At 39.6% G+C, this 26,727-nt stretch overlaps 1 protein-coding gene and 1 non-coding gene across 22 annotated transcripts in view; both read left to right on the forward strand.

Annotated features, from left to right (window-relative positions):
• Nucleotides 1-26,727, forward strand: part of CEP295 (centrosomal protein 295) — a 68,677-nt gene that overhangs the window by 39,301 nt on the left and 2,649 nt on the right. For 11 of the 21 annotated variants that reach the window (XM_011543047.2, XM_005274366.2, XM_017018470.2 and 8 more), the window contains 9 exons: nucleotides 1,478-1,655; nucleotides 1,794-1,937; nucleotides 5,763-5,915; nucleotides 20,330-20,430; nucleotides 20,972-21,068; nucleotides 22,059-22,307; nucleotides 23,272-23,393; nucleotides 24,669-24,849; nucleotides 25,994-26,655. In XM_011543047.2, the coding sequence (XP_011541349.1) occupies nucleotides 1,478-1,655; nucleotides 1,794-1,937; nucleotides 5,763-5,915; nucleotides 20,330-20,430; nucleotides 20,972-21,068; nucleotides 22,059-22,307; nucleotides 23,272-23,393; nucleotides 24,669-24,849; nucleotides 25,994-26,655 (1,887 nt within the window). Of the gene's footprint in view, nucleotides 1-1,477; nucleotides 1,656-1,793; nucleotides 1,938-5,762; nucleotides 5,916-20,329; nucleotides 20,431-20,971; nucleotides 21,069-22,058; nucleotides 22,308-23,271; nucleotides 23,394-24,668; nucleotides 24,850-25,993; nucleotides 26,656-26,727 lie in introns of those variants that run through there. The other 10 variants (XM_011543049.2, XM_017018472.2, XM_017018471.2 and 7 more) reach the window with 3 other exon arrangements.
• Nucleotides 20,532-20,884, forward strand: SCARNA9 (small Cajal body-specific RNA 9). Its single transcript, NR_002569.2, has one exon.

Consider the following 26,727-nt stretch of genomic DNA (forward strand, 5'->3'; position numbering starts at 1 on the left):
TAAGACTCGGCCCAGTGACTCATTCATAGTTGCCCTATCTGGGAGACAAGGGTATGTTCTAAATTTGAATGTATCTGTTTTATTTTAAAAGGCCAGTTCTGCTGGACATGGTGACTCAGGCCTTATAATCCCAGCACTTTGAGAGGCCGTGGCAGGTGGATCTCCTGAGCCCAGGAGTTCAAGATCAGCCTGGGCAACATGGCAAAACCCTGTCTCTACAAAAAATACAAAAATTAGCCAGGCATGGTAGCATGTACCTCTAGTCCTAGCAACTCTGGAGGCTTAGGTGGGAGGATGACTTGAGCCCAGGAGGTTGAGGCTGCAGTGAGCCATATTATGCCACTGTACTCCAGCCTGGGCGATGAGGGAGACCCTATCTCAAAAAAATAAATAAATGAAAGGCCACTTCCTAAATTTATTATTTAGTCTAAATAGAATTCTACAAATCCTTTGATGTCGAGAAGAAGCTTGAGTTGGGTTCAGGAAGAGTTAACGTCAAGAGATTTACTGGTCATTTAAAGGAAAAGTAATGGCAAAAGAAAAGCAGAGGGAAATACTCAAATATAATCTCTTATGGAAAGATGAAATGGAGGCTAAGTTTTTTTTTGTTTGTTTTTTGTTTGTTTGTTTGTTTGTTTTTGAGACGGAGTCTTGCTCTGTCACCAGGCTGGAGTGCCGTGACGTCATCTTGGCTCACTGCAACCTCTGATTCCCTGGTTCAAGCGATTCTCCTGCCTCAGCCTCCCGGGTAGCTGGGATTACAGGCATGCACCACCATGCCCAGCTAACTTTTGTATTTTTTGTAGAGACAGGGTTTTGCCATGTTGCCCAGGCTGGTTTCAATCTCCTGACATCATGATCTGCCCAACTCGGCCTCCCAAAGTGCTAGGATTACAGGCGTGAGCCACTGCACCTGGCTGTAGGCTAAGTTTTTAAGTCCAAGGCTGTGAATGGTTGTTGTTTTTGTTGTTGTTGTTGTTGTTGTTTGAGACGAAATCTTGCTCTGCTGCCCAGGCTGCAGGCTGGAGTGCAGTGGCACGATCTTGGCTCACTGCAACCTCTGCCTTCCAGGTTCAAGTGATTCTCCTGCCTCAGCCTCCTAAGTAGCCAGGATTACAGGCATGCACAATCACGCCCAGCCAATTTTTGTATTTTTAGTAGAGACGGGATTTCACCATGTTGGCCAGGCTGGTCTTGAACTCCTGACTTCAGGTGTCCTGCCCACCTTGGCTTCCCAAAGTGCTGGGATTGCAGGCGTGAGCCACCGCGCCTGGCCGAATGGTTGTATTTTCAATGGAAATATCCTTTTGGCATTAGAAGCATATCTTATTTTTTATATATAGATAAAATTTTGTGATTGATGGAACTATTTATTTGGTTTACGTTCTAATTTAAGAAGGGAGATATAAATCTAATGAATAATGCTTCACATGATCCCCCAACTTGTGCTTCCCCACCCTCATCTCCACTTTTTCAGATAAGTAAGCCCACAGTTGAAAATGATTTAAAAACCCAGAAGATGGGGCAGCTCAGAGACTGGTTTCCTAATACACAAGACCTAGCAGGAAATGATCAAGAAAATATTAGGCATGCAGATAGGAACAACTCTGATGATAATCATTTGGCTTCAGAAGATACTAGTGCCAAGCAAAGTGGTAAGATAATTGTGTTTGATTGTAATTATTTCACTGATTATTCCTTGTTTTCGTCCCCTGTAGCTTGCTAGTTGAAGAAAAGTTAGAAGTATGTTAATAGATTTTGTATTGTATCCAACTTTGTCATTGACTTAATAGGTGAGCATCTGGAGAAAGATCTGGGGAGAAGATCCTCAAAGCCACCTGTAGCAAAAGTCAAATGTGGTTTGGACTTAAACCAGCATGAACTTAGTGCTATACAAGAAGTAGAGTCACCAGCAATTGGCAGAACTTCTATACTAGGTAAATAGATGCTTTGATAAAACAAGATTTTTAAATAATTTGCCAGTTTTCTACTTTTTTTTTAGATGGAGCCTTGCTCTGTTGCCCAGGCTGGAATGCAATGGTGTGATCTCAGCTCACTGAAACCTCTGCCTTCTGGGTTCAAGCAAATCTCCTGCCTCAGCCTCCCGAGTAGCTGGGATTACAGGCGCCCGCCACCACACCCAGCTAATTTTTGTATTTTTAGTAGAGACAGGGTTTCACCATATTGGCCAGGCCGGTCTTGAACTGCTGACCTCAGGTGATCTGCCTGCTTCAGCCTCCCGACGTGCTAGGATTACAGGCGTGAGCTACCGCACCTGGTCTACATTTTTTCAGAGTGCTAAATGTTTTTTGTTAAACTTATAGCAGAAAAAGGAGATGGAAAAAAAAAAAAGAAACCTAGACTGACTTTCATGAAAAGGAAAAAATGGCTTATTTAAACAGTATTTAAAATTTGGACTTAAGGAAATGTGGCATTGGTAATAACTATGACTATGTAGTTTCTTTATCTTGTATATGGGGAAAACAACTTATTGTAGGCAAAAATTTTTTGGTTTTCCATCTTCTGACAGTCTTGCTCCCCGTTTCCTTTCATGTCTGCCTTCTAAATGTGTTTCTTTTAGGATACACTCAGGTTTTTTTTTTTTCTCTTTTCCTTTGTCACTTTCTACTTTCCTACCTTCACTGTTCTGTTCTTTTCTTATATTTTTATAGGATTATTATGCTTAAATCCTGGCTTTGTGGTCAATTAGATATATTTATTCACTGTACTACTTTCTACATCCAGGTGTCAGAAAAAAATAATAAAACACTCATCCCTGTAATTCTTTTTTTTTTTTTTTTTTTGAGACAGAGTCTCGCTCTGTCGCCCAGGCTGGAGTGCAGTGGCGCAATCTCGGCTCACTGCAAGCTCCGCCTCCCAGGTTCACGCCATTCTCCTGCCTCAGCCTCCCGAGGAGCTGGAACTAGAGGCACCCGCCACCAAGCCCAGCTAATTTTTTTATATTTTTAGTAGAGACGGGATTTCACCGTGTTTGCCAGGATGGTCTCCATCTCCTGACCTTGTGATCCGCCCGCCTCGGCCTCCCAAAGTGCTGGGATTATAATCTTGAGCCACTGCGCCCGGCCCCATCTCTGTAATTCTTAATAAATAGTCTTATGTGAATTTCATAATTTTTTTTAGAATTCAGATTCACTAAATAATTTTCTCGATCAAATTTATCAAAATAAATTATTTTTTAAAGGGGAACATTAGCTTTGTCAATAGAAAGGTACTTAGAAGTTGTATCCCCATTAGTATAGTAGTTGAAAAAAAAGCTGTAATGTTAATATTAGCTGTTTGATCTTCAGCTATAAAATATTGTACCTGTGTTTCTGAGCATTTGAAAGAATTAAGGGAGGTATGCCAGGTGCAATGACTCACACCTGTAATCCCAGCACTTTGGGAGGCTGAGATGGGAGGATCGAGACCAGCCTGGTGTAATGCAGGGAAACCCCCTCTGGTGGCGCTTGCCTGTAGTGTTCAGCTACTTGGGAGGCTGAGGTAGGAGGCTCACTTGAGCCCAGGGGGTTGAGACTGCAGTGGTTTCTTTTAAGTCTAGGAGTAAGTCTAAATAAGTCAAGACCCCTAGGTAGGTGAACTAAAATCCCTACCAAAACCCCTGGTAGGTGAACTACCAGGCCCTCATGATCTTTCTCTTCCTCCCTTCAAGACTTAGTAAGTGTCATTGGTTTGGTAAACTTATTCAGATTTCCTTCTCATGAAGTCTTGGTCTCATCATAGCCTTTACCATACTTCTTAGGGTAATACTTCTATCATCATATTACATGCAAGTAATTTAAAAAGGGAAATAGCGCTGAAAGGTATAACATAAAACAGCAGTTCTTCCTGCCCCTACACACCCTTTAATACCACTCACTAGAGGCAGTTACTTTTCAAGTATTTTAAGTATTTCTTCTTGTATTTACTTCCATAGTTGCAGTGGGTTTAAGCAAAAATTAAGCTAAATTGTCATTATGGTGATACATAGACCTTTTTTGCTGCGGAGTCCATTAGTATATTATGTTATTATATTTTATTTTTCTAAACTTTTTTTCATGTAGTAAATTGTCTTATTTATTTAATTTGCTTAAAGTTTTTAGAGTGTCTGTCTTTCCACTCTCTACTACTTCAGTTAAATACCTCTCAATATAATGTAGTTTGTACTATTTTCTCTTTTTGTGGAACACCTTTTAGTTGGAAGTTGTATGGGCCGTGCTATGCATTCTTAACAAGGGTGTTTTTTCCCCCAGAGGGATAAAAATTGGTTCTTGGGGAGGTGAAAAAAAACTTTTACTATTTATATGTACAAAGCACAAATATGCATAAATAGATATACAGTATATTTGTGGTTATTAAAACTGAACGGGGGTAGAGGCAGTTTAAAAAGGAAAAGTCTAAAAAGACTCCTTAAGGGATGATAAAAATAAGGTTGAGAAATACTGATCTATATTGATCTTTCCATTTTTTCTTCTCTTTCTTTTTCTTTGGGTTTTGTTTTGTGGGCTAATTTTCTTAATTTTGTGTTCTGACTTTTCTTTTGAACTTTTGATGATCAAATTGTAGTTTCTAAAAGGTTACTCTTTTTCTCTGATTATTTTCTTTTTTTATAGCATCCTGCTATTGTTTCATGGATGCAGAATGTTGTCTACTTTAAATATTTACAGTGGATTTTTTGGTTTGGGTTTTTACATTTTTTAGTTCTTTCATTTTTTTGTTGTCTCTGTCTTATACTTTAGAACCTTTCCTCTAATGTCTTCATATTTGAACGGGATGCTAAAAGGCCAATTGGAGGTTCTCTTGGGGTGAGGGGCTATATGTGCTGTTGGACTTTATTGGAAAAAGTATGGCTTTGTAGTGAGGACGCTCACCTTAGTATCTGTAGTTCCATTCCTTGAGAGAAGTTTAGTTTCTTCAAAGAAATACCTTTTAAGCTTGATATAAGCCTGGCTGTTGATATTATTGAGCCAGACCTAGGAGATCTGGATTGAGGATGCAGACTTTAACACCCTCTGATTTCCTTATGGCATTCTGTCACCCCCTTCCACTCTTGCCTGCTTTCTGTGCCTGATCCCCTGGACCCCAGAGTGTATCAGATTCGTTTTCTCCAGAGAATAAACCTTTAGTTTCCTCTGGGGATGATGTTGATGGACAGGGATCTCAGGAGAGGGATAACTCTTCCAAGTGCATAGTCTTAAATGTTCTGTTTTTAGTTTCCTGCTGCATGTATTCCTTTTGTAGTAGTGCCTAGCGCCCTTAATTCCCAATTTTTGGGGCGATGCTTTATCAAAATATAACCTTCAAAGAGGTGCACAAATCATGTTTGTTTCATGTAAACACCACCAGGTCAAGAAGTGGAACATTAGAGAACCCAGTAAACACTTCTCTTTTACCTTCCCAGTTATCATCCCCTGTCTTCTAAACCATATCTTGATTCCTATACCACAAATTAGTTGTGGTTATTTTTGAACTTTATATATAAATTATGAATGCATGTTATAATGGCTGGTAAATTCTCCACGAATTTTCTTTGTGATTAGTCAATACTGAGGCATAATCTGATGTGGTGAGGTAGCAGCATCATTAAAAGCTTAGTAAAATTGAATACAAATAATATAAAAGCTTGACTGTGAAAGGTAAGGAATTATTGCTATATACAGTAAGTCTTTAAGAGCTTAGATTTCTACCCATAATATAAATTGGCACTTTAGTTCTAGCTATTAATAGTTCCAGAAATTGAAGTGGAAATATTTTTTCCCCCCCAGGTAAACCAGGTATTTATGAAGACAGAGACCCCCTGCGAGTCTCAATAAGCCGAGAACAAAGTTTCTTTGGGAGCCCACTGGCCCATGATCCGTTTAGTTGTCTTCAACTGGTTGGCCAAGAGAATGTCTGTGGTGATGACTATGATGAAGCAGGTGAGAAATAAATGGAAAGTGGAATTGTATGCACAAGGATATGTGGACAAAAGATATTTATTATTTTGTTATTTGTAATGGTGAAAAATGGTAAATAAACTTAGTTACTGCTGTTAATGGAATCGTTATGATGCAGTTAACTATATTGTTCTATGCAGTTGTTAAATGAGTAATTTTGCTTTTAAATTGTTTTATTAAATGCCAGTAAGAAGTTTATCAAGGTAGGAGTTTTATACAATTGGCAGCATCCATAAATTTTATGTTTAAGCCTATTTGTAACAATCCATATCTAATTAAATACTGTTAAATATTTTAAAAATTCTATCTGTGGGCATTCTAAATAAGCTGTTTTATGTTTATTTTTAAATATTTGGAAAAATAAAGATAATTAGAAGGAAAAATATTTAAATCACTTAATCCTAACACCCAAAGACAGCCAATGTTAATCTTCTCGCTTCTGAATTTATATATGTATATATATATAGCACAGGATATTTTATATATAATTTGTGTACTGATCCTACAAAGTATAGTTGTAGTACTATTTTATTAGTTGTAAGGCATCTTTTAAGAAGTTACATTTTGGCCGGGTGCAGTGGCTCACATCTGTAATCCTAGCACTTTGGGAGGCCAAGACTGGCAGATCATGAGGTCAGAAGATTGAGACCACGGCTAACACCGTGAAACCCTGTCTATACTAAAAATACAAAAAATTGGCCGGGTGTAGTGGTGGTCACCTGTAGTCCTGTAGGGAGGCAGGAGAATGGCGTGAACCTGGGAGGTAGAGCTTGCAGTGAGCCGAGATCAAGCCACTGCACTCCAGCCTGGGCGACAGAGCGAGACTCCGAGACTCCATCTGAAAAAAAAAAAGAAGAAGTTACATTTTATAGCCAGATTTATTTTTATTTTAGCTGTACACCTAGTAAGATAATTTACTTGTATCTATACAAGATACCTTACTTGTATCTATAGTTGAGTGGAATGAGAGATGAAGGAAAGGGATATTCTTTTGAGGGTTTATTAAAAAATTGACTTTAACATCTCTTTAAATTGTGGATTAAAATAACTGTAAAGGATATAATTTTCAGTGAGCTATAATTTTTGACATTTTAAAATAAAACAGATTATTCTTTTTTTAATTTTTAATTTTTGTGGCTACATAGTAGGTGTATCTATTTATGGGGTATATGGGATAGTTTGATACTGGTATACAATGTGTAATATTCACATCATGGTAAATGGGGTATCCATCACCTCAAGCATTTATACTTTATTACAAACAATTCAATTATAGTTTTAGTTATTGCAAAATGTACAAAGAAATTATTCACTATAGTCACCCTGTTTTGCTATCTAACTGCTTATTTGTGCCCATTAACCATCCCCACTCCCCCAACGACCCCCAACTACGCTTCCCAGCCTCTGATAACCTTTGTTCTACTCTCTATCTCCGTGAGTTCAGTTGTCTTAATTTTGAGTTCCCACAAATAAGTGAGAACATGTGAAGTTTGTCTTTCTGTGTATGGCTTATTTCACTTAACATAATAACCTCCAGTTCCATCCATGTTATTGCAAATGACATGATTTTGTTCCTTTTTATGGCTGAATTGTACTCCATTGTGATACGTGCCACTTTTTTTTTATCCATTTGTTTGTTGATGGACACTTAGGTTGCTTCCAAATCTTGGCTATTGTGAACAGTGCTGCAGTCAACATGGGAGTGCAGATATCTCCTCAGTGTACTGATTTACTTTCTTTTGAGTATATACCTAGCAGCAGGATTGCCGAATCATATGGTAGTAATATTTTTAGTTTTTTGAGGAACCTCCAAACTGCTCTTCATAGTGGCTGTACTGATTTACATTCCCACCAACGGTGTTCCCTTCTCACCACATCTTTGCAAAACATTCATTATTACCTGTCTTAGATAAAAGCCATTTTAACTGGACTGGCAGGATATCTCAAAGTAGTTTTGATTAGCATTTCTCTAATGATCACTGGTGTTGATTGAGCACCTTTTCATTTGCCTGTTTGCCATTTGTATTTCTTCTGAGAAATGTCTGTTTGGATTTTTTGCCCATTTTTTAATCAGGTAATTAGATTTTTTCCTACAGAGTTGTTTGAGCTCCTTATATATTCTAGTTATGAATCCCTTGTCAGATGGGTAATTACAAACATTTTCTCCCATCCTATTGGTTGTCTCTTCACTTTATTGATTGTTTCATTTGCTTTGCAAAAGCTTTTTAATTTGATGTGATTCCATTTGTCCATTTTTGCTTTGGTTTCCTGTGCTTGTGGGGTATTGCTCAAGAAATCCTTTGCCCAGACCAGTGACCTGGAGGGTTTCCCCAATGTTTTCTTTTAGTAGTTTCAAATTTGAGGCCTTAGATTTAAATCTTTAATCCATTTTGGTTTGATTTTTGTATATGGTGAGGGATAGGGTCTAGTTTTATTCTTCCATATGTGGGTATCCAGTCTTCCCAGCACCATTTACTGAAGAGACTCTCTATTCCCCCATGTACGTTCTTGGCACCTTTCTCAAAACTGAGTACACAGTAAATGTATGAAATTGTTCCTGTGTTCTCTATTCTGTTCCATTGATCTGTGTGTGTCTCTTTTTATGCTAGTACCATGCTGTTTTGATTACTGTTGCTCTGTAGTATAATTTGAAGTTAGGTAGATTCCTCCAGTTTTGTTCTTTTTGCTCAGGATAGCTTTGGCTATTCTGGGTCTTTTGTGGTTCCATATAAATTTTAAGATTTTTTTTCTATTTCTATGAAGAATATCATTGGTATTTTGATAGGGATTGCATTGAATCTGCAGATTGCTTTGGGTAGTATGGACATTTTAATAATGTTGAGATTCTTCCAATCCAGGAACATGGAATATCTTTCCATTTTTTGTGTGTCCTCTTTAATTTCTTCCATCAATCTTTTACAAGTTTCATTGTAGAAATCTTTCACTTCTTTGGTTAATTCCTAGGTATTTAATTTTCTTTGTAGCTGTTGTAAATGGGATTACTTTCTTGATTTCTTTTCAGGTGATTTGCTTTTGGCATATAGAAATGCTACTGGTTTTTGTATGTTGATTTTGTATCCTGCAACCGTACTGAATTTATCAGTTATAATAGTTTTCTTGTGGAGTCTTTAGGTTTTTTCCAGATATAAGCTCGTATCAAAGGATAATTTGACTTCTTCCTTTCCAACTTGGATGCTCTTTATTTCCTTGTCTTGTGCGATTGCTCTAGCTAGGACTTCCAGTACCATTAATATGTTGAGTAACAGTGGTGAAAGCAGGCATCCTTGTGTTTCAGATCTTAGAGGAAAGGCTTTCAGGTTTTCCCCCATTTGGTATGATACTAGCTGTGGATCTGTCATATATGGCTTTTATTGTGTTATGTTCCTTCTGTACCCAGTTTTTTAAGGTTTTTATCATGAAGGAATGTTGAATTTTATCAAATGCTTTTCCAGCATCAATTGAAATGATCATGTGGTTTTTGTCCTTCATTCTGTTGATAGGATGTATCACATTGTTTATTTTGCATACATTGAACCATCCTTGCATCCTTGGGATAAATTCCACTTGGTCATAATGAATGATCTTTTTAATGTGTTGTTGAATTCGATTTGCTAGTATTTTAGCATCAGTATTCATCAGAGATATTAACTTGTAAATTTTATTTTATTGCATCTTTGTCAGGTTTTGGGATTAGGGCAATACTGGCCTTGTGGAATGAGTTTGGAAGTATTTCTTCCTCTTCTGTTTTTCAGAATAGTTTGAGTGGGATTGGTATTAGTTTGCCTTTAAGTGTTCGGTAAAATTCAGCAGTGAAGCGATAGTGTCCTGAGCTTTTCTTTGCTGGGAGACTTTTTATTTCAGCTTTGATCTCATTACTTGTTATTGGTCTACTCAGGTTTTGGATTTCTTCATGGTTCAACCTTGGTAGGTTGTATGTGTCTAGGAATTTATTCATTTCTTCTAGTTTTCCAATTTTGGCCTATAGTTGCTAATAGTAGTCTCTAACGATCCTTTAAATTTCTGCAGTATCTGTTGTAATGTCTCCTTTTTCATTTCTGATTTTATTTGGACCTTCTTTTTTTGTAATTAGTCTGACTAAAGATCTGTCAATTTTTTAAATATTTTCATAAAACCAATTTTTGTTTTCTTGATCTTTTGCATTATTTTATTTGTTTCCCTTTCATTTATTTCTCCTCTGATCTTTATTATTTCTTTTCTTCCACCAACCTTAGGTTTGATTTGCTCTTGCTTTTCTAGTTTTTTAAGATGCATTTTTAGGTTGTTGATTTGAAGTTTTTCTTCTTTTTTTATGTAGATACTTAAATAGCTATAAATTTCCCTCTTAGTACTGCTTTTGCTGTATTTCATAAGTTTGGGTATGTTGTGTCTCCATTATTTGTTTCAAGAAATTTTCAGTTTCTTTATTAGTCTCTTCATTGACCCACTGGTCATTCAGGAGCATACTGTTTAACTTCCATGTGTTTGTATAGTTTCCAAAATTTATCTTGTTACTGATTTCTAGTTTTATTCCACTGTGGTCAGAGAAGACAAGTGTTATTATTTCAGTTTTGTTTTTGTTTTTGTTTTTGTTTTTGTTTTTGTTTTGAGACAGAGTCTAGCTCTGTCATCCAGGCTGGAGTGCAGTGGCACGATCTTGGCCCACTGCAGCCTCCATCTCCTGGACTCAAGCAATTCTTCTGCCTCAGCCTCCCAAATAGCTGGGACTGCAGGCATGTGCCACCATGCTTAGCTAATTTTTGTATTTTTAGTATAGATGGAGTTTCACCATATTGGCCAGGCTGGTCTCAAACTCCTGACCGCCCAGGAACAAGTGATCCGCCCACCTCAGCCTCCCAAAGTGCTGGGATTACAGGCTTGAGCCACCACTCCTGGGCTATTTAAGTTTGTTTGTTTTTTTTTTTTTAATGTTTTAAGCCTTGTTTTGTGGCCTAACATGTGGTCTGTCTCTGACAATGATCCATGTGCTGAGGAGAAGAATATGTATTCTGTAGCCATTGGATGAAATGTTCTGTAAATATCTGTTAGGTTCATTTGGTCTATGGTGAAGATTAAGCCCAATGTTTCTTTGTTGATTTTCTGTCTGGAAGATCTATCCAATGCTGAAAGTGGGATGTTGAGGTCTCCAGCTATTATTTTACTGGGGTCTAGCTATCTCTTTAGCTGTAATAATATTTGCCTTATATGTCTGGATGCTCCAGTGTTGGGTGCATATATGTTTATAATTGTTACATCCTCTTGCTGAATTAACCCCTTATCATTATATAATGACCTGCTTTTTTTTTTCCTATGGTTTTTGTCTTGAAATTTTATTTATTTATTTATTTTTTTAAGACAGAGTCTCACTCTGTCACCCAGGCTGGAGTATGGAGTACAGTGGTAGGATCTTGGCTCACTGCAGCCTCCGCCTCGTGGGTTCAAGTGATTCTCCTGCTTCAGCCTCCCAAGTAGCTTGGATTACAGGCATGCGCCACCACACCTGGCTAATTTTTGTATTTTTAGTAGAGACGGGGTTTCGCCATGTTGGCCAGGCTGGTCTCGAACTCCTGACCTCAGGTAATCCACCCACTTAGACCTCCCAAACTGCTAGGATTACAGGCATAAGCCACCACACCTGGCCAAAGTCTATTATTTCTGATATAAGTATAGCTACTCTTGCTGTTTTTTGTTTTCCATTTGCATCTTTTTCAATGTTTTTGTTTTCAGTCTGTGTTTCTTTATAGGTGAAGTGTATTTCTTGTAGGTAACAGATCATTGGATCTTGTTTTTTTATCCATTCAGCCACACTATGTCTTTTGCTTGGAGAGTTTAGTCCATTTACATTGAACATTATTATTGATAAGTAATGATTTACTCTTGTCATTTTGTTATTTGTTTTCTGGTTATTTTTTGGTCTTCTCTTCCTACTTTTCTTTCTTCTGTTTTGTTGTTGTTGTTGTTGTTGTTGTTGTTGTTGTTGTTTTAGTGAAGGTGATTTTCTCTGGTGGTATGTTTTGATTTCTTGCTTTTTATTTTTTTTTTTGTATCTGTTGTATGTTTTTAAATTTGAGGTTACCCTGAAGCTTGCAGATAATATCTTATAACCCATTATTTAAAACTGATGACAACTTAGGAATGATTGCATAAACAAGCAAAGAGAAAACTAATAAAAGCCCTATACTTCAACTTTGTGTCCCTGCTGTTTAACTTTTTGTTGTTTCTATTTATGTCTTATTGTACTGTCTATATCTTGAAAAGTCGTACATATTATTTTTGATCTGTTCATCTTTTTGTCTTTCTGTTTAAGTATGAGTAGTTTACACAAAACAATTACAGTTTTATAATATTCTGTGTATTTCTGTGTACTTACTATTACCAGTGATTTTTGTACCTTCAGATCATTTTTTATTGCTTACTAATGTTTTCTTTCCAATTGAAGAACTCCCTTGATTATCCCTTGTAGGACAGGTCTGGTTTTGATTAAATCCCTCAGCTTTTGTCTAGGAAAGTCTTTGTTTCTTCTTTACTTTTGAAGGATATTTTTGCCAGATCCGCACTTTTAATGTGTCATGCCACTCGCTCCTGGCCTGTAAGGTTTCCTGAAAAGTCTGCTGCTAGACGTATTGGAGCTCCATTGTATATTATTTGTTTATTTTTTTCTTGCTGCTTTTAGGATTCTTTCTTTATCCTTCACCTTTGGGAATTTGATTATTAAATGCCTTGAGATAGTCTTCTTTGGGTTAAATCTGCTTGGTGTTCTCTGTTCCTCTTGTACTTGAATATTGATATTTTTCGCTAGGTTTGGGAAGTTCTCTGTTATTATCCCTTTGAACAAACTCTATCCCTGTCTCTCTACCTTCTCTTTAAGGCCAGTAGCTCATAGATTTACCCTTTTAAAGCTATTTTCTAGATCTTGTAGGCATGCTTCATTCTTTTTAATTCTCTTATCTTTTGTCTCCTCTGTGCATTTTCAAATAACCTGTCTTCAGGTTCACTAATTCATTGTGCTTGATCAGTTCTACTATTAAGAGACTGATCCAGTCTTCAGTATGTCGATTGCATTTTTCAGCTCCAGAATTTCTGCTTGATTCTTTTTAACTATTTCACTGCCTTCATTTTATTTATCTGATAGGATTCTGAATTCCTTCTCTGTGTTATCTTGAGTTTCTTTGTTTCCTCAAAACAGCTACTTTTGAATTCTCTGTCTGAAATGTCACATATCTGTGTCTCAGGGATTGGCCCTTGGTCCCTTATTTAGTTTGGTGAAGTCATGTTTTCCTGTATGGTCTTGATGTTTGTGGATGTTCATTGGTACCAGGGCATTAAAGAGTTAGGTGTTTCTTTCTTTTCTTTTTTTGAGACGGAGTCTTGTTCTGTCTCCAGGCTGGAGTGCAGTGGCATGATCTCAGCTCACTGCAACTTCTGCCTTCCAGGTTCAGGCGAATCTCCTGCCACAGCCACCCAAGTAGCTGGGACTACAGGCGCGTGCCACCACGCCCAGCTAATTTTTGTATTTTTAGTAAAGACGGGGTTTCACCATGTTGGCCAGGATGGTCTCAATCTCTTGACCACATGTTCCACCCGCCTCGGCCTCCCAAAATGCTGGGATTACAGGCGTGAGCCACCATGCCCTGCCAAGAGTTAGGTATTCCTTACAGTCTTTGCATTCTGGGCTTGCTTGTACCCATCCTTCTTGGGACAGCTTTCTGAGTATTCAAAGGGACTTCAGTGTTGTGATCTAAGTTTTTGGTCACTGCAGCCATGTCTTCATTAGGGGATACCCCAAGCTCAGTAACACTGTAGTTCTTGCAGACTCATAGAGGTACTGCCTTGGTGGTCTTGGATAAGATCCAGAAGAATTCTCTGGACTATCCAGCAGAGACTCTTATTCTTTACCTTCCTGTCTCCCAAACAAATAGAGTCAGTCAGCCTCTCTCTCTCTCTCTCTCTGTGCTGAGCTGCCTGGAGCTGGGGGGAGGGGTGACACAAGCACCCCTGTGGCCATCATCTCTGAGACTGTGCTGTGTCAGACCTGAGCCAGCACAGTACTGGGTCTTGCCCAAGGCCCACTGTAACCACTACCTGCCTACCATCTTTGTTCATTCAAGGCCCTAGGGCTCTACAGTCAGCAGGTGGTGAAGCCAGCTGGTCTTATGTCCTTGCCTTCAGGGTGGCAAGTGGCCCCGGGCAAATCCAGAGATGTTGTCCAGGAGTCAGTGCCTGGAATCGGGATCTTTAGAACTCTACTGGGTACTCTACTGTGGCTAAGCAGGCACCAAAATCACAAACAAAGTCCTTTCCACTGTTCCCTCCCCTTCCTTAGGCAAAGGACTCTCTCCCCTTGTCCACCACCACCACAGGCCTATGGAGAGTACTATCATGGTACCACTGATGATCACTTAAGGCCCAGTGGCTCTTCAGTTAGCTTGTTGTGAATGCTGCCAGGCATGGGACTTCCTTCAGGGCAGTGGGCTTCCTCCTCTCTGACCCAGGGTAGGTTCAGAGATGCCATCCAAGAGCCAAGGCCTGGAATCGGGGACTCCAAGATCCCACTTGGTGCTATTCCCCACTGTGGCCAAGCTGGTACCTAAGCTGCAAGGCAAAGTCCCCTTTATTCTTCCCTCTGCTTTTCTCAAGCAGAAGGGGTCTCTTCTCATAGCCATCACAGCTGTGAATATGCTGGGTCACACATGAAGCCATCATGTCTCAGAGTCTCACCTAAGGCCCATGGCATATACTACTTGGCTACCACTGCTAGGACCCAAGGGCTCTTTAATCAGCAGGTGATGAATCCTGCCAGGACTGGGTCCTTCCCTTGAAGGCAGCAGGTTCTCTTCTAGCCCAGGATGTGTCCATAAATGTCATCCAACAGCTAGGTCCTAGTATGGGGACCTCATAAGTCCTCCCAGTGCCTTATTCTTCTGTGACTGAGTGGGTATTCAATTTGCAAAACAAAGTCCTCTTTATTCTTCCCCTTCTCTCCGCAAGCAGAAGGAGGGGGTCTCTTTTGGAGCTGTGAGCTGTGCTGCCTGGGATTAGGGGAGGGGTAGCACAAGCACTCCCTTCGCCACCCTAGCTGGTTTTCACTAGGTCATGTGACCCCTCCAAGTCTACAAGCTCTGAGCCCAGCACAGCACTAGGACTTGCCTAGTGCTGCAGTTGCAGTCTTTGTGGCCTAAACAGCCTTTCAAGTTTGTTTAGGACTCCAGAGCACTAAATTTAGCCCGTAGTGACAAGACTTGCCAAAACTCAACTTCCAACTGCTAGAGTGGATACTTCCCCTCTGGCTAGGGCTGGTCTAAATGCTCCCTCCAAGGGCACTGGCAGAGTTCTACTTGGTGCTGGCCACACTGAGTTCCAATGCAAAGTCCCAGAATGGCTGAGCTCTCCTTCCCCCAAGCATACAGATTCTCTCTCCGCACCATGTGGCCACTGCCTGGAGATGAGGGAAGGGTGGTGTTGGCATTTCAAGACTGTCTTTGCTATCCTCTTCAGTGCCTCTGTCAGCGATATGAAGTTAAAACCAGGTACTGTGATTGCTCACCGGATTTTTGGTTCGTATGAAGGTACTTTTTTATATGGTTGCTGTTGTGTAATCAGGAGGACCAGGGAGAGACCTTGGGGTGTATACAGGAGGGTATCTTTATTATTGAGTGCACTCAGACCCAGCAGACTCAACGTCTAAAGACTGGGCGCAGAACAAAGACAGTACTTGGCTTTTATACACACTTCACAAAAGGGGGTGGGCTAGCTTGAAGCAAGCTTACAGTGGTGTGAAAGCAGGGATACAGAGGCAGGACAAAGACAGTTAATCAAATTGTAACAAGTTCATAACTCAGGATTGCACATGACCATCGCTGTGCAACCCAGATGCCCATTATCTAGATTTTGCTCTAAAGAGCCTTGCACTGGTTTATCTCGTAACCTTCACTATGGTGCCTAGGCAGCTGTAGTTCAGGCCTGCTTAGGCTTCTCATGACCTTTGATGTACTTCTTAGACAAAACAGAATTCTTGAAGTTACTAGTTACAGAGAACAGGAATCTATAAAATCTATAAACTTATACCATAAAACAAAGGAAAATTTGTTTTTCTTCTCCCTATGTTGAAGGAGTGCTGGGAGAGTCTACAGAGCACATTAGATAATATTATTAAGACTTTTCCTGGGTCTGGGCTGTGCCTGTTGCTGCCTCTGGGACAAGTCAGCCTAATACAGGAAAGCTTATTTCTCTTTAATTTTATTTTTCTTTAATTTCCCGCCTCAGTTGCCAACTTTGAAGTTCCTGTGGTGAGGACAGTTGGTGGAAGCTTCTATTCCGTCTCTCTTGCTCCACCCCTACCCGCTGCATCACTTTTTTATTTACACAATGGATATTTGCATTTTCTTTTTATTCTATTTGTTGATAACCTCTAGCTAAAGACTACGAGGAACGCACCTATAGTTGAACAAAGCTGAGCGTCTGACCTGTTGCGGTGAGGGGGAATGCATACCATGGGCAACCACGAGGCATCTCAGTAAATGGCTATTTAGGAAGGACTTATAGGATTTGGGCTTGTTTTAGGGGATTGGGAGAAGGATTCAAGGAAACAGAGCTTTTTGGTAATTAGTATTGGATGTTGTCAGGAAGCAGGAGTAATTCTGTTTCAGTACCTGAAAAGTTCTTATCTAGGAGGTGGTAAGAATGGAAGTGAAGCTAAAGTTGTAACTGGTAAAACAGCAGCAGTCACTCCTATTAGCCAGGATAAGGGAATGCTTGGCCATTCTTGTGGTTTAGACAATATTCATGGTTTTGTCTGTGTTCAGATGTGGTTACAAGGGGTCTCATTTTTTTTTTCTTTATCAGGGTCACAGAGTGGCCATTTCTGAGACTGGCATTCCATGGAATTGTTGATGTTTAACAGAACACCAGGGCATTACCTGATAGTGCCAGGTCAGCTCCTGGATACCAGGGACGGCTTTTCTCTTTCTCAGAATCATTCCCAGATTCAGATTGTTTCAAATTTCTTTTATTCTGTTTTGAGACAGGGTCTTGCTCTATCACCTAGGCTAGAGTGCAGTGGCACAACCACAGCTCATTGCTGCCTTGACCTCCTAGGCTCAATTGATCCTCCCACCTCAGCCTCCCGAGTAGCTAGGACTACAGGCATGCACCACCCCACCCGGTTAATTTTTTAATTTTTGTAGAGACAGGGTCTCACTGTGTTGTCCAGACTGGTCTTGAACCCCTAGGCTTGAGCAGTCCTCTCACCTTGGCCTCCCAAAGTGTTGGGATTATAGGCGTGAGCCACCACGCCTGGTCCAGATTGTTTCTATTTTAGAAAGGTCTGTCTTGTTACTACTATTCCATTGTTTCTGCCCCACATCTTGATTTAACAGATTTTTAAGATGGAGCCACTAACTGCAAACTTTGTACTGTCTGCCCTTGTAGGAAAACAGGAAATGGTGCCTTCCTGCATGGCATGAAAAGATAGCAGTAAGGTGTTACTTTCATTATGTCACTTCCCCTTTTTAGGAACTGTTATCAGTGAACCACATCCCAAATGACGACAGTTATTTCTCTTCCAGCTTTCAGGGACCTATCCACTGAATCTTTGAACATCTTCAGTGACTCTGATCTTGCTCCTTTCTCTCACTTTTATTTTTCACTTCTTACTACCACGCAAATGCTGCCTTATTTATTCATACCTCCACTGAGGGAGTCTTCTAGGTATATTACAGATAACAGTAAATAATTGTAATTATTATTAGTGAATTGAACATCCCAGATTAACTTCTCATTTCCCAATTAGCTTTTAAAATGAACTGCTTAAGAATAGAAGAAAAAATTAAAACTCACTATAAAATTTCACCAGCCAACCTGGGTGACAGAGCAAGACCCTGTCATCCAAAAAATATATTGTATTTAAAGACAAATGTCAGCCAGGCACGGTGGCTCACGCCTGTAATCCCAGCACTTAGGGAGGCCCAGGTGGGCGGATCATAAGGTCAGGAATTCGAGACCAGCCTGGCCAATATGGTGAAACCCCGTCTCTACTAAAATACAAAAATTAGCCGGGCTTGGTGGTGCGCACCTGTAGTCCCAGCTACTCAGGAGGCAGAGGCAGAAGAATCTCTTGAACCCGGGAGGTGGAGTTTGCAGTGAGCCAAGATCGTGCCTCTGCACTCCAGCCTGGGTGACAGTGAGACTCCGTCTCAAAAAAAATAAAGACAAAGATTTGCGATTAGCTTTGTTTCCACTTCATTAATCATAATATATATTATTTTATGAATAAATATCTGTACTTACATACAGATAGATGTGTACGTGTGTGTGTGGGTTGTTTTTTTTTTCCGGGTTTTTTTTTTTTTTCCTGTTTTTTTTTGTTTTGTTTCAAGGCACAGTTGTTCACACTGTTGCCCAGGCTAGAGTGCAGTGGTGCCATTATAGCTCATTCACAATCCAAAATCCTGGGCTCAAACCATCCGACTGCCTCAGCCTCCGAGGTAGCTAGGACTACAGGAGCATGCCACTATGCCCAGCTAATTTTTTATTTTTTTGTAGAGATGAGGTCTTGCTAGGTTGCACAGACTGGTCTGAAACTACTGGCCTTAAGCAATCCTCCCACCTCAACTTCCTGAGTTGCTGGGACTAGAGGGGTGAGCCACCATGCCTACCTGCTTGTTTACTAGGTCTACATTTGAAAAATAATTCTCCTGGTCCGAATGTAATGAGTTATCTCAATTGATTATTTACAGTCAGTTACAGATCGGACTCTTTGTTCTATTCTTTTCCCTGTTCTCACTACTGCACTTGACTAGTCTTAAAAAAAAATAAAATGAATAATTAATAATTGTTACATAAACATTTAAGAAATATACCTTTAATGTGCATACCTTCTAATATCACTGAGATTATGAAGCAGAATTTTGTTTATATTCAGTGAAGCAGTTTTAATTGTATTTTTCAGAGCCATAGACTACAATATGTCTTGGTGAGCTTTCTCACAAGTGTCAGTTGGTCACTTGGAATAAGAAGGAAAATAAGCTCAGAATACATGATTGTTAATATGAGACACAAAGTATAATTTTAATGTTTTAATATCTCAAATATAATTAGGAATGATAATTCATCATAAAAGTAATATATGCTCATTATGAATTTAGAAAGCTGTAAAAAAAAAAAAAAGCTGGGCGTAGTGGCTCATGCCTATAATCCCAGCTACTCAGGAGGCTAAGGCAGGAGGATCACTTCAGGCTAGCAGTTCAAGACCAGTCTGGGAAACATAACAAGACTCTGTCTCGCCAGGCGTGGTGGCTCACACCTGTAATCCCAGCACTTTGGGAGGCCGAGGTGGGCGGATCACCTGAGGTCACGAGTTCGAGACCAGCCTGGCCAACATGGTGAAACTCCGTCTCTACTAAAAATAGAAAAATTAGCCAGGCATGGTGGTGTGTGCCTGTAATCCCAGCTACTCAGGAGGCTGAGGCAGGGAGAATTGCCTGAACCTGGGAGGTGGAGGTTGCAGTGAGTCGAGATTGCGCCACTGCATTCCAGCCTGGGTGACAGAGCGAGAGTCTGCCTCAAAAAAAAAAAAAAAAACTGTCTCTAAAAAAATGAAATAAAATAATAGAAGGCACTAAAAGGTACAGTACAAGTAAAAATTACTCCTTGTGCTACCATTAATAAACAACCACTGGTTACATTTTGGTGTGGTTTTTTGAGACGGGGTCTGGCTCTGTTGCAGAGGCTGGAGTGTGGTGGCACATTCTCGGTTCATTACAACCTCCGCCTCCCAGGCTCAAGCAAGCCACCCTCCCACCTCAGTCTCCTGAGTAGCTGCGACTACAGGTGCCTGCCACTGCCCCAGGCTAATGTTTGTAATTTTTGTAGAGATGAGGTTTCACTGTGTTGCCTAGGCTGGTCTCGAACTCCTGCACTCAAGCGATCCACCTGCCTCAGCCTCCCAAAGTGCTATGATTACAGGTGTAAGCCACCGCACCTGGCCCTGGTGTTTTCTTTATTGTCTCTTTTATATGCATGTTTTCGCATCTTTAGGACCACACTGTGTTTATGATTTAATATTCTTGCTTTTCCACTTAAAACAGTGGCAAAAGCATTTCTCATCACACTGGTTCTTTTCTAGGTTTTAGACCTAATATTCAAATTTCTTAAAGCATTTTATTCATAAAATAACAATAGCTACAGTTTTCCAGGAAAAAGTATATTGTGCTGACTAGTGAATGTTTTTAACAAATACGGTGAATTTTTTCTTTGATCTAAGACAAGACAACTTTAAGAAGCAAAATGAGAAAGTAGATTGTAGGAAAGCAGGGAATGGTGTCCTGTGGTGCTAAGAATTTGATTTGTCTTATCCCAACTATATTTTTCTCCCATCTTGAACTCCAAAATCCATTTTTCAGTTAAGCTGAAGGAATCTGTTGTTGAAAATCATGCAGTGTTAAGTTATGCTGTGGAGGAAGAACATGCATATTTGGGTCCAACTGTGAAGCCAGATGATAAGGTTAGTAATGTCTTAATGTTCACTCGATTTTTAGAGCTGTTTGGCTTCGTATTCTCTTTTGTTTAGTTTACAGAAGCTATGTTATAACATTAAAGTCAGTGCTTTCTGAGATCTGCTTTTAGTGAAGTGGATCAATGATGAAACTAGCCAAATCTGAGCATCAGAAGTCTTTCCAGTCTACCTGATGCATGATCTCTACAGTTCTGAGAAGCAAAACTATAAAACAATGTAAAACAATAAGGGCATATGTCTGGTGTGTGTGTGTGTGTGTGTGTGTGTGTGTGTGTGTACGCACATGTGTTTATAAAGATAACAGCTGTAGGAATGAATGAGATTGAGGGTGGGGGGGTGCGTATGTATGTCTATGAAAGCCTAATCATTTCTGGGCAATGATGAAAAGGTTTTACTACTGATCTTTGTAACTATGATGGTTTCTACACTTGACCTGAGCTCAGAAGTGACAACTGCTGGGGTTGGTGATTTGGGGTTTTCTTACATACTACTTGCTACATTGTGGTATGATATTCCCCTTAATTTCTAGGCTAAAACACTGTCTTATGAACCATTATCTTCAGCAACTGTTTCCACTGGGAGCCTTTTAAGTTATGAAAACACAGATTTGAGCCTTACAGATCCAGGTAATAAGGTCAAAATGTTTATAAATAAGTTGAAAGACCGGCACCAGTTGAGTTGCAATACAGTGATGGAAGGAAGCATTGGGTTTTCATGATACACCATGGGGAACTATTTCTCTAAATCTCACAAGTAAAGTATGGCCAGGCGTGGTGCCTCACGCCTGTAATCCCAGCACCTTGAGGTGGGAGGATCGCTTGAGCCCAAAAGTTTGAGACCATCCTGGGCAACGTGGTAGAACCCTATCTCTACAAAAAAATACAAAAGTTAGCCAGGTGTGGTGGTAAGTGCCTGTAGTCCCAGCTACTCAGGAGGCTGAGGTGAGGGGATCGCTTGAGCCTGGGAGGTCAAGGCTGCAATGAGCCACAATCACGCCACTGCACTCCAGCCTGAGCAACATAGTGAAACCCTGTCTCAAAAAAAAAAAAAGTAAAATATTCACACCCAGCAAAACATTGGCGCATATGGTATTCTAAATATTACTGGAAGTAACAGGGATGCTCTGTAGATCCCCAACAATACTTTTGAGAAGCAGTTGCTGATATATTTTTCCATTCAGTGGAAACCTATCCGAGCAAATTTCATGGTTGCACTGATCTCTTAACAATATGTATTACCATGCTTCTCCACTAAAATATGTCTGTAAGGAAGTACCCAGTACAGTATGTCTGTAAGGAATATTCCATTAAAAGGAATATAGTGTCGCTGTCAATTACATTTTTTTTTCTTTTGAGATGGAGTCTTGCTCTGTTGCCAGGCTGGAGTGCAATGGTGCAATCTCGGCTCTCCCGAGTAGCTGGGACTACAGGTGTGCGCCACCACGCCCAGCTGATTTTTGTATTTTTAGTAGAGATGGGGTTTCACCATGTTGGCGAGATGGTCTCCATCTCTTGACCTCGTGATCCACCCACCTCGGCCTCCCAAAGTGCTGGTATTACAGGCGTGAGCCATCACGCCTGGCCTATTTACATATTTTCATTAAACTCAATTTTCAGAGTCATTTTCAGAGCACATGGATGATAGCAAGCAAGAATCTACCACCAGTAAAGAAGAGGAAACAAATATTATAAGTTCCATAGTTCCTTCAACACAAGATATTTATCAGCGGCAGAACTCTTCAGACGTTCATAAATCTCTGTTGCCTGCAGTGGATGAAACTACATGTGGTCACACACACTTTCAGCAAATGATAGACAAGTACATTAATGAAGCAAATTTGATACCTGAAAAAACAGATTTGCAAGGTAAAATTATTTTAAAGCAATACTTTTATGTAAATTAAGTTTTAAATTTTCACCTTTCATCATTTTAAATTTTATGCAGTGATTGTTTGAGCTTCATGTTCTTATGGCCTGCTACAACACCGTTTTACCACAGAATATATTGAGGGCATTTAGTGAGAAAGGGGATCTGGAACCAATTAGACTCACTGAGGCACATTTATAGGAGATTAATTAGCAAATCTTCCTTTGCCATTGCAGAGTTAGCTATTACGGCTGAGGCGGTATTACTGATAAATAAGAGCAGGAGCTCAGAAATCATACAGTTCTGGATTTGAGTCATAGCCTGACCATTTCCTAGCTGTAAAACCATGGGCAAGTTACTTTTTAATCTTTTATAAAAGAGGAATATTATAGATTAAATGAGATAGTGCACATAAAGCACAATGTCTGGCCCATAGTAACACTGAATACAGTGAGCCTTTTTCCTTTTTTAAGCTTATACTGAAGCAGTGGTTACATATGTCCTGTTGATCCTCATTAGCCTCATAAGGCTGTGGAAATGGAAATTCGTATTTGTCAAAAGTTTGTTCATACCTGTAATCGTAGCACTTTGGGAGGCTGAGGCAGGAGGATTGCTTGAGCCCAGGATTTCAAGACCAGCCTGGGCAACACTGAGACCCCATCTCTATTTTAAAAAAAAATTTTTTAAATTTAAAAAAATTAAATTTCTCTAAAAATAAAACTTAAAAAGTTTTGGTCACTGAGAGGATCCATATTTTGGACCTTTGAAATAATCATGATAGGACTTAACTTTAAAGCATCTGCTGATCATGGGGGAAAAACTGAAGTTTTTGTTACACTGGAGTTACCTGAAAATAAGCGTTTATGAATATGTTCTTAATACTCCTTTTCTAGTGTTTACCTTAAAAATAAATTTATGATTTTTTTCCCTCAAAAATTCTAACAGTTGACCTTGACTTTCCAGAATTGGAACACATTTTTCCTAATTTGCATCATCAGCTGTTTAAACCCTTAGAACCACATCCAGATTTTGACTTATCATCATCATCCTCTGGGATTTCTCCAGACAACAGAGACTTTTACCAGGTATATTAAAGTAGATGTCCCATTGCAGTGAATATCTAAAAATAGTTTTAAGCCATTTCTTCTACTGGAACAAAAGTTCTTCTAAACCCTTACCTAGAATCACATGGAAGTCTGGGCACAGTGGCTCACACCTGTAATCCCAGCACTTTGAGAGCCCAAGGCGGGCAGATTACTTGAGGCCAAGAGTTCGAGACCAGCCTGGCCAACATGGCAAAACCCTGTCTCTACTGAAAATACAAAAATTAGCCAGGTGTCGTGGTGCGCACCTGTAGTCCCAGCTACTCGGGAGGCTGAGGTGGGAGGACCACTTGAGCCCAGGAGGTGGAGGCTGCAGTGAGCTGAGATCGTGCCACTACACTCCAGTCTGGGTGACAGAGCCAGACCCTGTCTTTAAAAAAAGAAACAAACAAACAAACAAAAAGAATCACATGGAAAACTTAAATAAAAAATAAAAATAAATCCTATTGTCCAGACTACACCCTAGACCAATTAAAGCAGAGTTTCTGGGAGTGCTCAGATAGTACTAATTATTATTATTATTTTTTAAGCTCCCCAAGTGATTCTAATGTGGAACCAACTTTGAAAACAGCTGCATTGGGCCGGGTGCGGTGGCTCATGCCTGTAATCCCAGCACTTTGGGAGTCTGAGGCAGGTGGATTGCTTGAGGCCAGGAGTTTGAGATCAGCCTGGCCAACATGGTGAAATCCCATCTCTACTAAAAAACACAAAAATTAGTTGGGTGTGATGGCATGCCTGTAGTCCCAGCTACTCGGGAGGCTGAGAACCGCTTGAACCTGGGAGGCAGAGGTTGCAGTGAGCCGAGATCGTGCCACTGCACTCCAGCCTGGACAACATAGTGAGACCCCATCTCAAAAAAAAAAAAAGGAAAACAGCTACATTAGAATTTTGTTTGTCCCATCCACCTGTCTCCACCTAGGGAGTATGATGCCATAAAAGGCTTAATAACAACTTTTAGTTGTGGAACATATTTAAACAGTAAAGTAAATACAATTTTGCAAAATTTAAAGTATCCTCCTACACAGTCAAAGGAGCTGAGATTTAAACCTGAGTCTTTTTGCTTCCACTTCCTGATGGCCTGACATTTTAAAGTCTCTTTCATATTGATTGAAAAGAACTGGATTTGAAAAAGCAAATCATTGCTGTCATAGTGAAGTGATAATTAAGGAAGAGTAATACCAAAGGAACACAATGATTATTGTTTCAATTGTTAATACCTAATCAGTATTTCAGCCTTTCCCTTTTGTTTCCTGCCAGAGATCAGATTCTTCATCTGAAAGCCACTGTGCTACTGGATTATCCAAAAGTACAGTTTATTTCACAGCACTGAGGAGGACCAGCATGCATTCTTCTCTTAACACAAGTCCGAATCAACAACCTGACACTAACTTGGCTCATGTTGGAGCTCACAGTTTTGCTACAGAAAATATTATTGGGGGTATGTATGACTAAGTTAGAAAAAGTTAATTTTTCCATGATTTTTTACATCCATTTCCTTAGAAATTAAGCCTAGCACCTCTTGGTTTGTCTTCACCCCTGCTCTCACCCCTATCCTGGGTGTTAAAAAATATTTAAATTACAGAAGTAATACATGCATTTTTTTAAACAATACTGAACATTATGAAATAAAAGGAAAAGTGTTGCCTCTTGTTCCTCAATTTCCCTACCTCAATCATTATGTGATAGTTAACAGTTTAAGTATTATTTTTTTGTTTGTTTTTTTTGTTTTTGTTTTTGTTTTTATTTTGTTTTTGAAGACTGAGTTTCACTCTTGTTGCCCAGGCTGGAGTGCAGTGGTGCAATCTTGGCTCACTGCAACCTCCGCCTGCTGGGTTCAAGTGATTCTCCTGCCTCACTCAGCCTCCCAAGTAGCTGGGATTACAGGCATGTGCCACCACACCCAGCTAATTTTCTATTTTTAGTATAGACAGGGTTTCACTATGTTGGTCAGGCTGGTCTAGAACTCCCGACCTCAGATGATCCACTCGTCTTGGCCTCCCAAAGTGCTGGGATTACAGGTGTGAGCCACCATGCCCAGCCAGTTTAAGTATTCTTCTTAGGCCAAGTATAGTGGCTCACGCCTGTAATCCTAGCACTTTGGGAAGCTGCGGCAGGAGGATCCCTGGAGCCCAGGAGTTCAAGACCAGCCTGGGCAACATAGAAAACAAGTATTCTTGAGCCTTTGGTACAAATGATTATATATACACACAAACATACATGAGATACACAAGGATGTACAAATTATATATACACACATGGATAATTGAGATACACATGGATGCTTTATTCTCTTTTCTGTTATTAAAGTCATATTCAGTTCTTATAGAGGAAAACATCCTCAGTTTATAGCCATATTGTCCTTATTAAATATTAATAGAAAAAGAAAAAATACTTGGTGTGAGCTGTAGTTTGAGAAATCACTGTGACCATCCTTATCTTTGTATTCATGTTTATACACATCAACTTTTATGCCTAAAATTGTAGGTTACTTGCAATTGGATGATAAACTATTAGAGACTGTCAGTATCCAACTTTTACAACATGTAACGATGATTAACTGATTTTTGAATTTCTTAATGCAGGATCTGAACAATGTTTTGAACAGCTTCAGCCAGAATATTCTTCACAGGAGGAGAGCCAGCATGCTGATCTACCAAGTATTTTTAGCATTGAAGCAAGAGATTCTTCCCAAGGCATGAAAAATCAGAACTATCCCTCTGAAGAACATACTGAAATATTACAAAACAAGAAAAAAATTGTTCATTTCCAGCTTTCTATAGGAAACTTAAGTTCAGTCTACAGTTCATCTGATGAAGCTAATGTATTTGATCAGTTAAATGTACAGCATAGCACTCCATGTGGTTCTAACTCTAGTGAGTGCTCAACAAAACACCAACTAGAAAGCAGAAAGGAAAGTATGGGCTTTGAAGAACTATCAAAAAGAGGGGTTGTTACAATGTTACAAAGTCAAGGACTCATTGAAGATAATAAAAATGAAACCTGTAGGGTTTTAGACATAAATCCACAGGTAGAGGAAACTGACTCTCGATTATGTGTAAGAACAGTGGAGATGGGAACTTCAATTCAGGCACCATATTCCTTAACTACTCAAAATGAAAAATATTTTGAGAATTCAGCTGAAACAGACATTCCAAAAATCACCAAAAAACTATCTCAACTAGGAGAATCAGAGCTTTTTGCAAGTTCTGGATCATTTTCATTACAGAGCTCTATACCAGTCTGGGTAAGTGAAATCAGTGTTGTATAAATAACATTTAAATTCCTTTTTGGGAAAAAACTTTTTTCTTCTAAAATT

Source organism: Homo sapiens, chromosome 11 (assembly GCF_000001405.40).
Source record: "Homo sapiens chromosome 11, GRCh38.p14 Primary Assembly".
Lineage (NCBI taxonomy): Eukaryota > Metazoa > Chordata > Mammalia > Primates > Hominidae > Homo > Homo sapiens.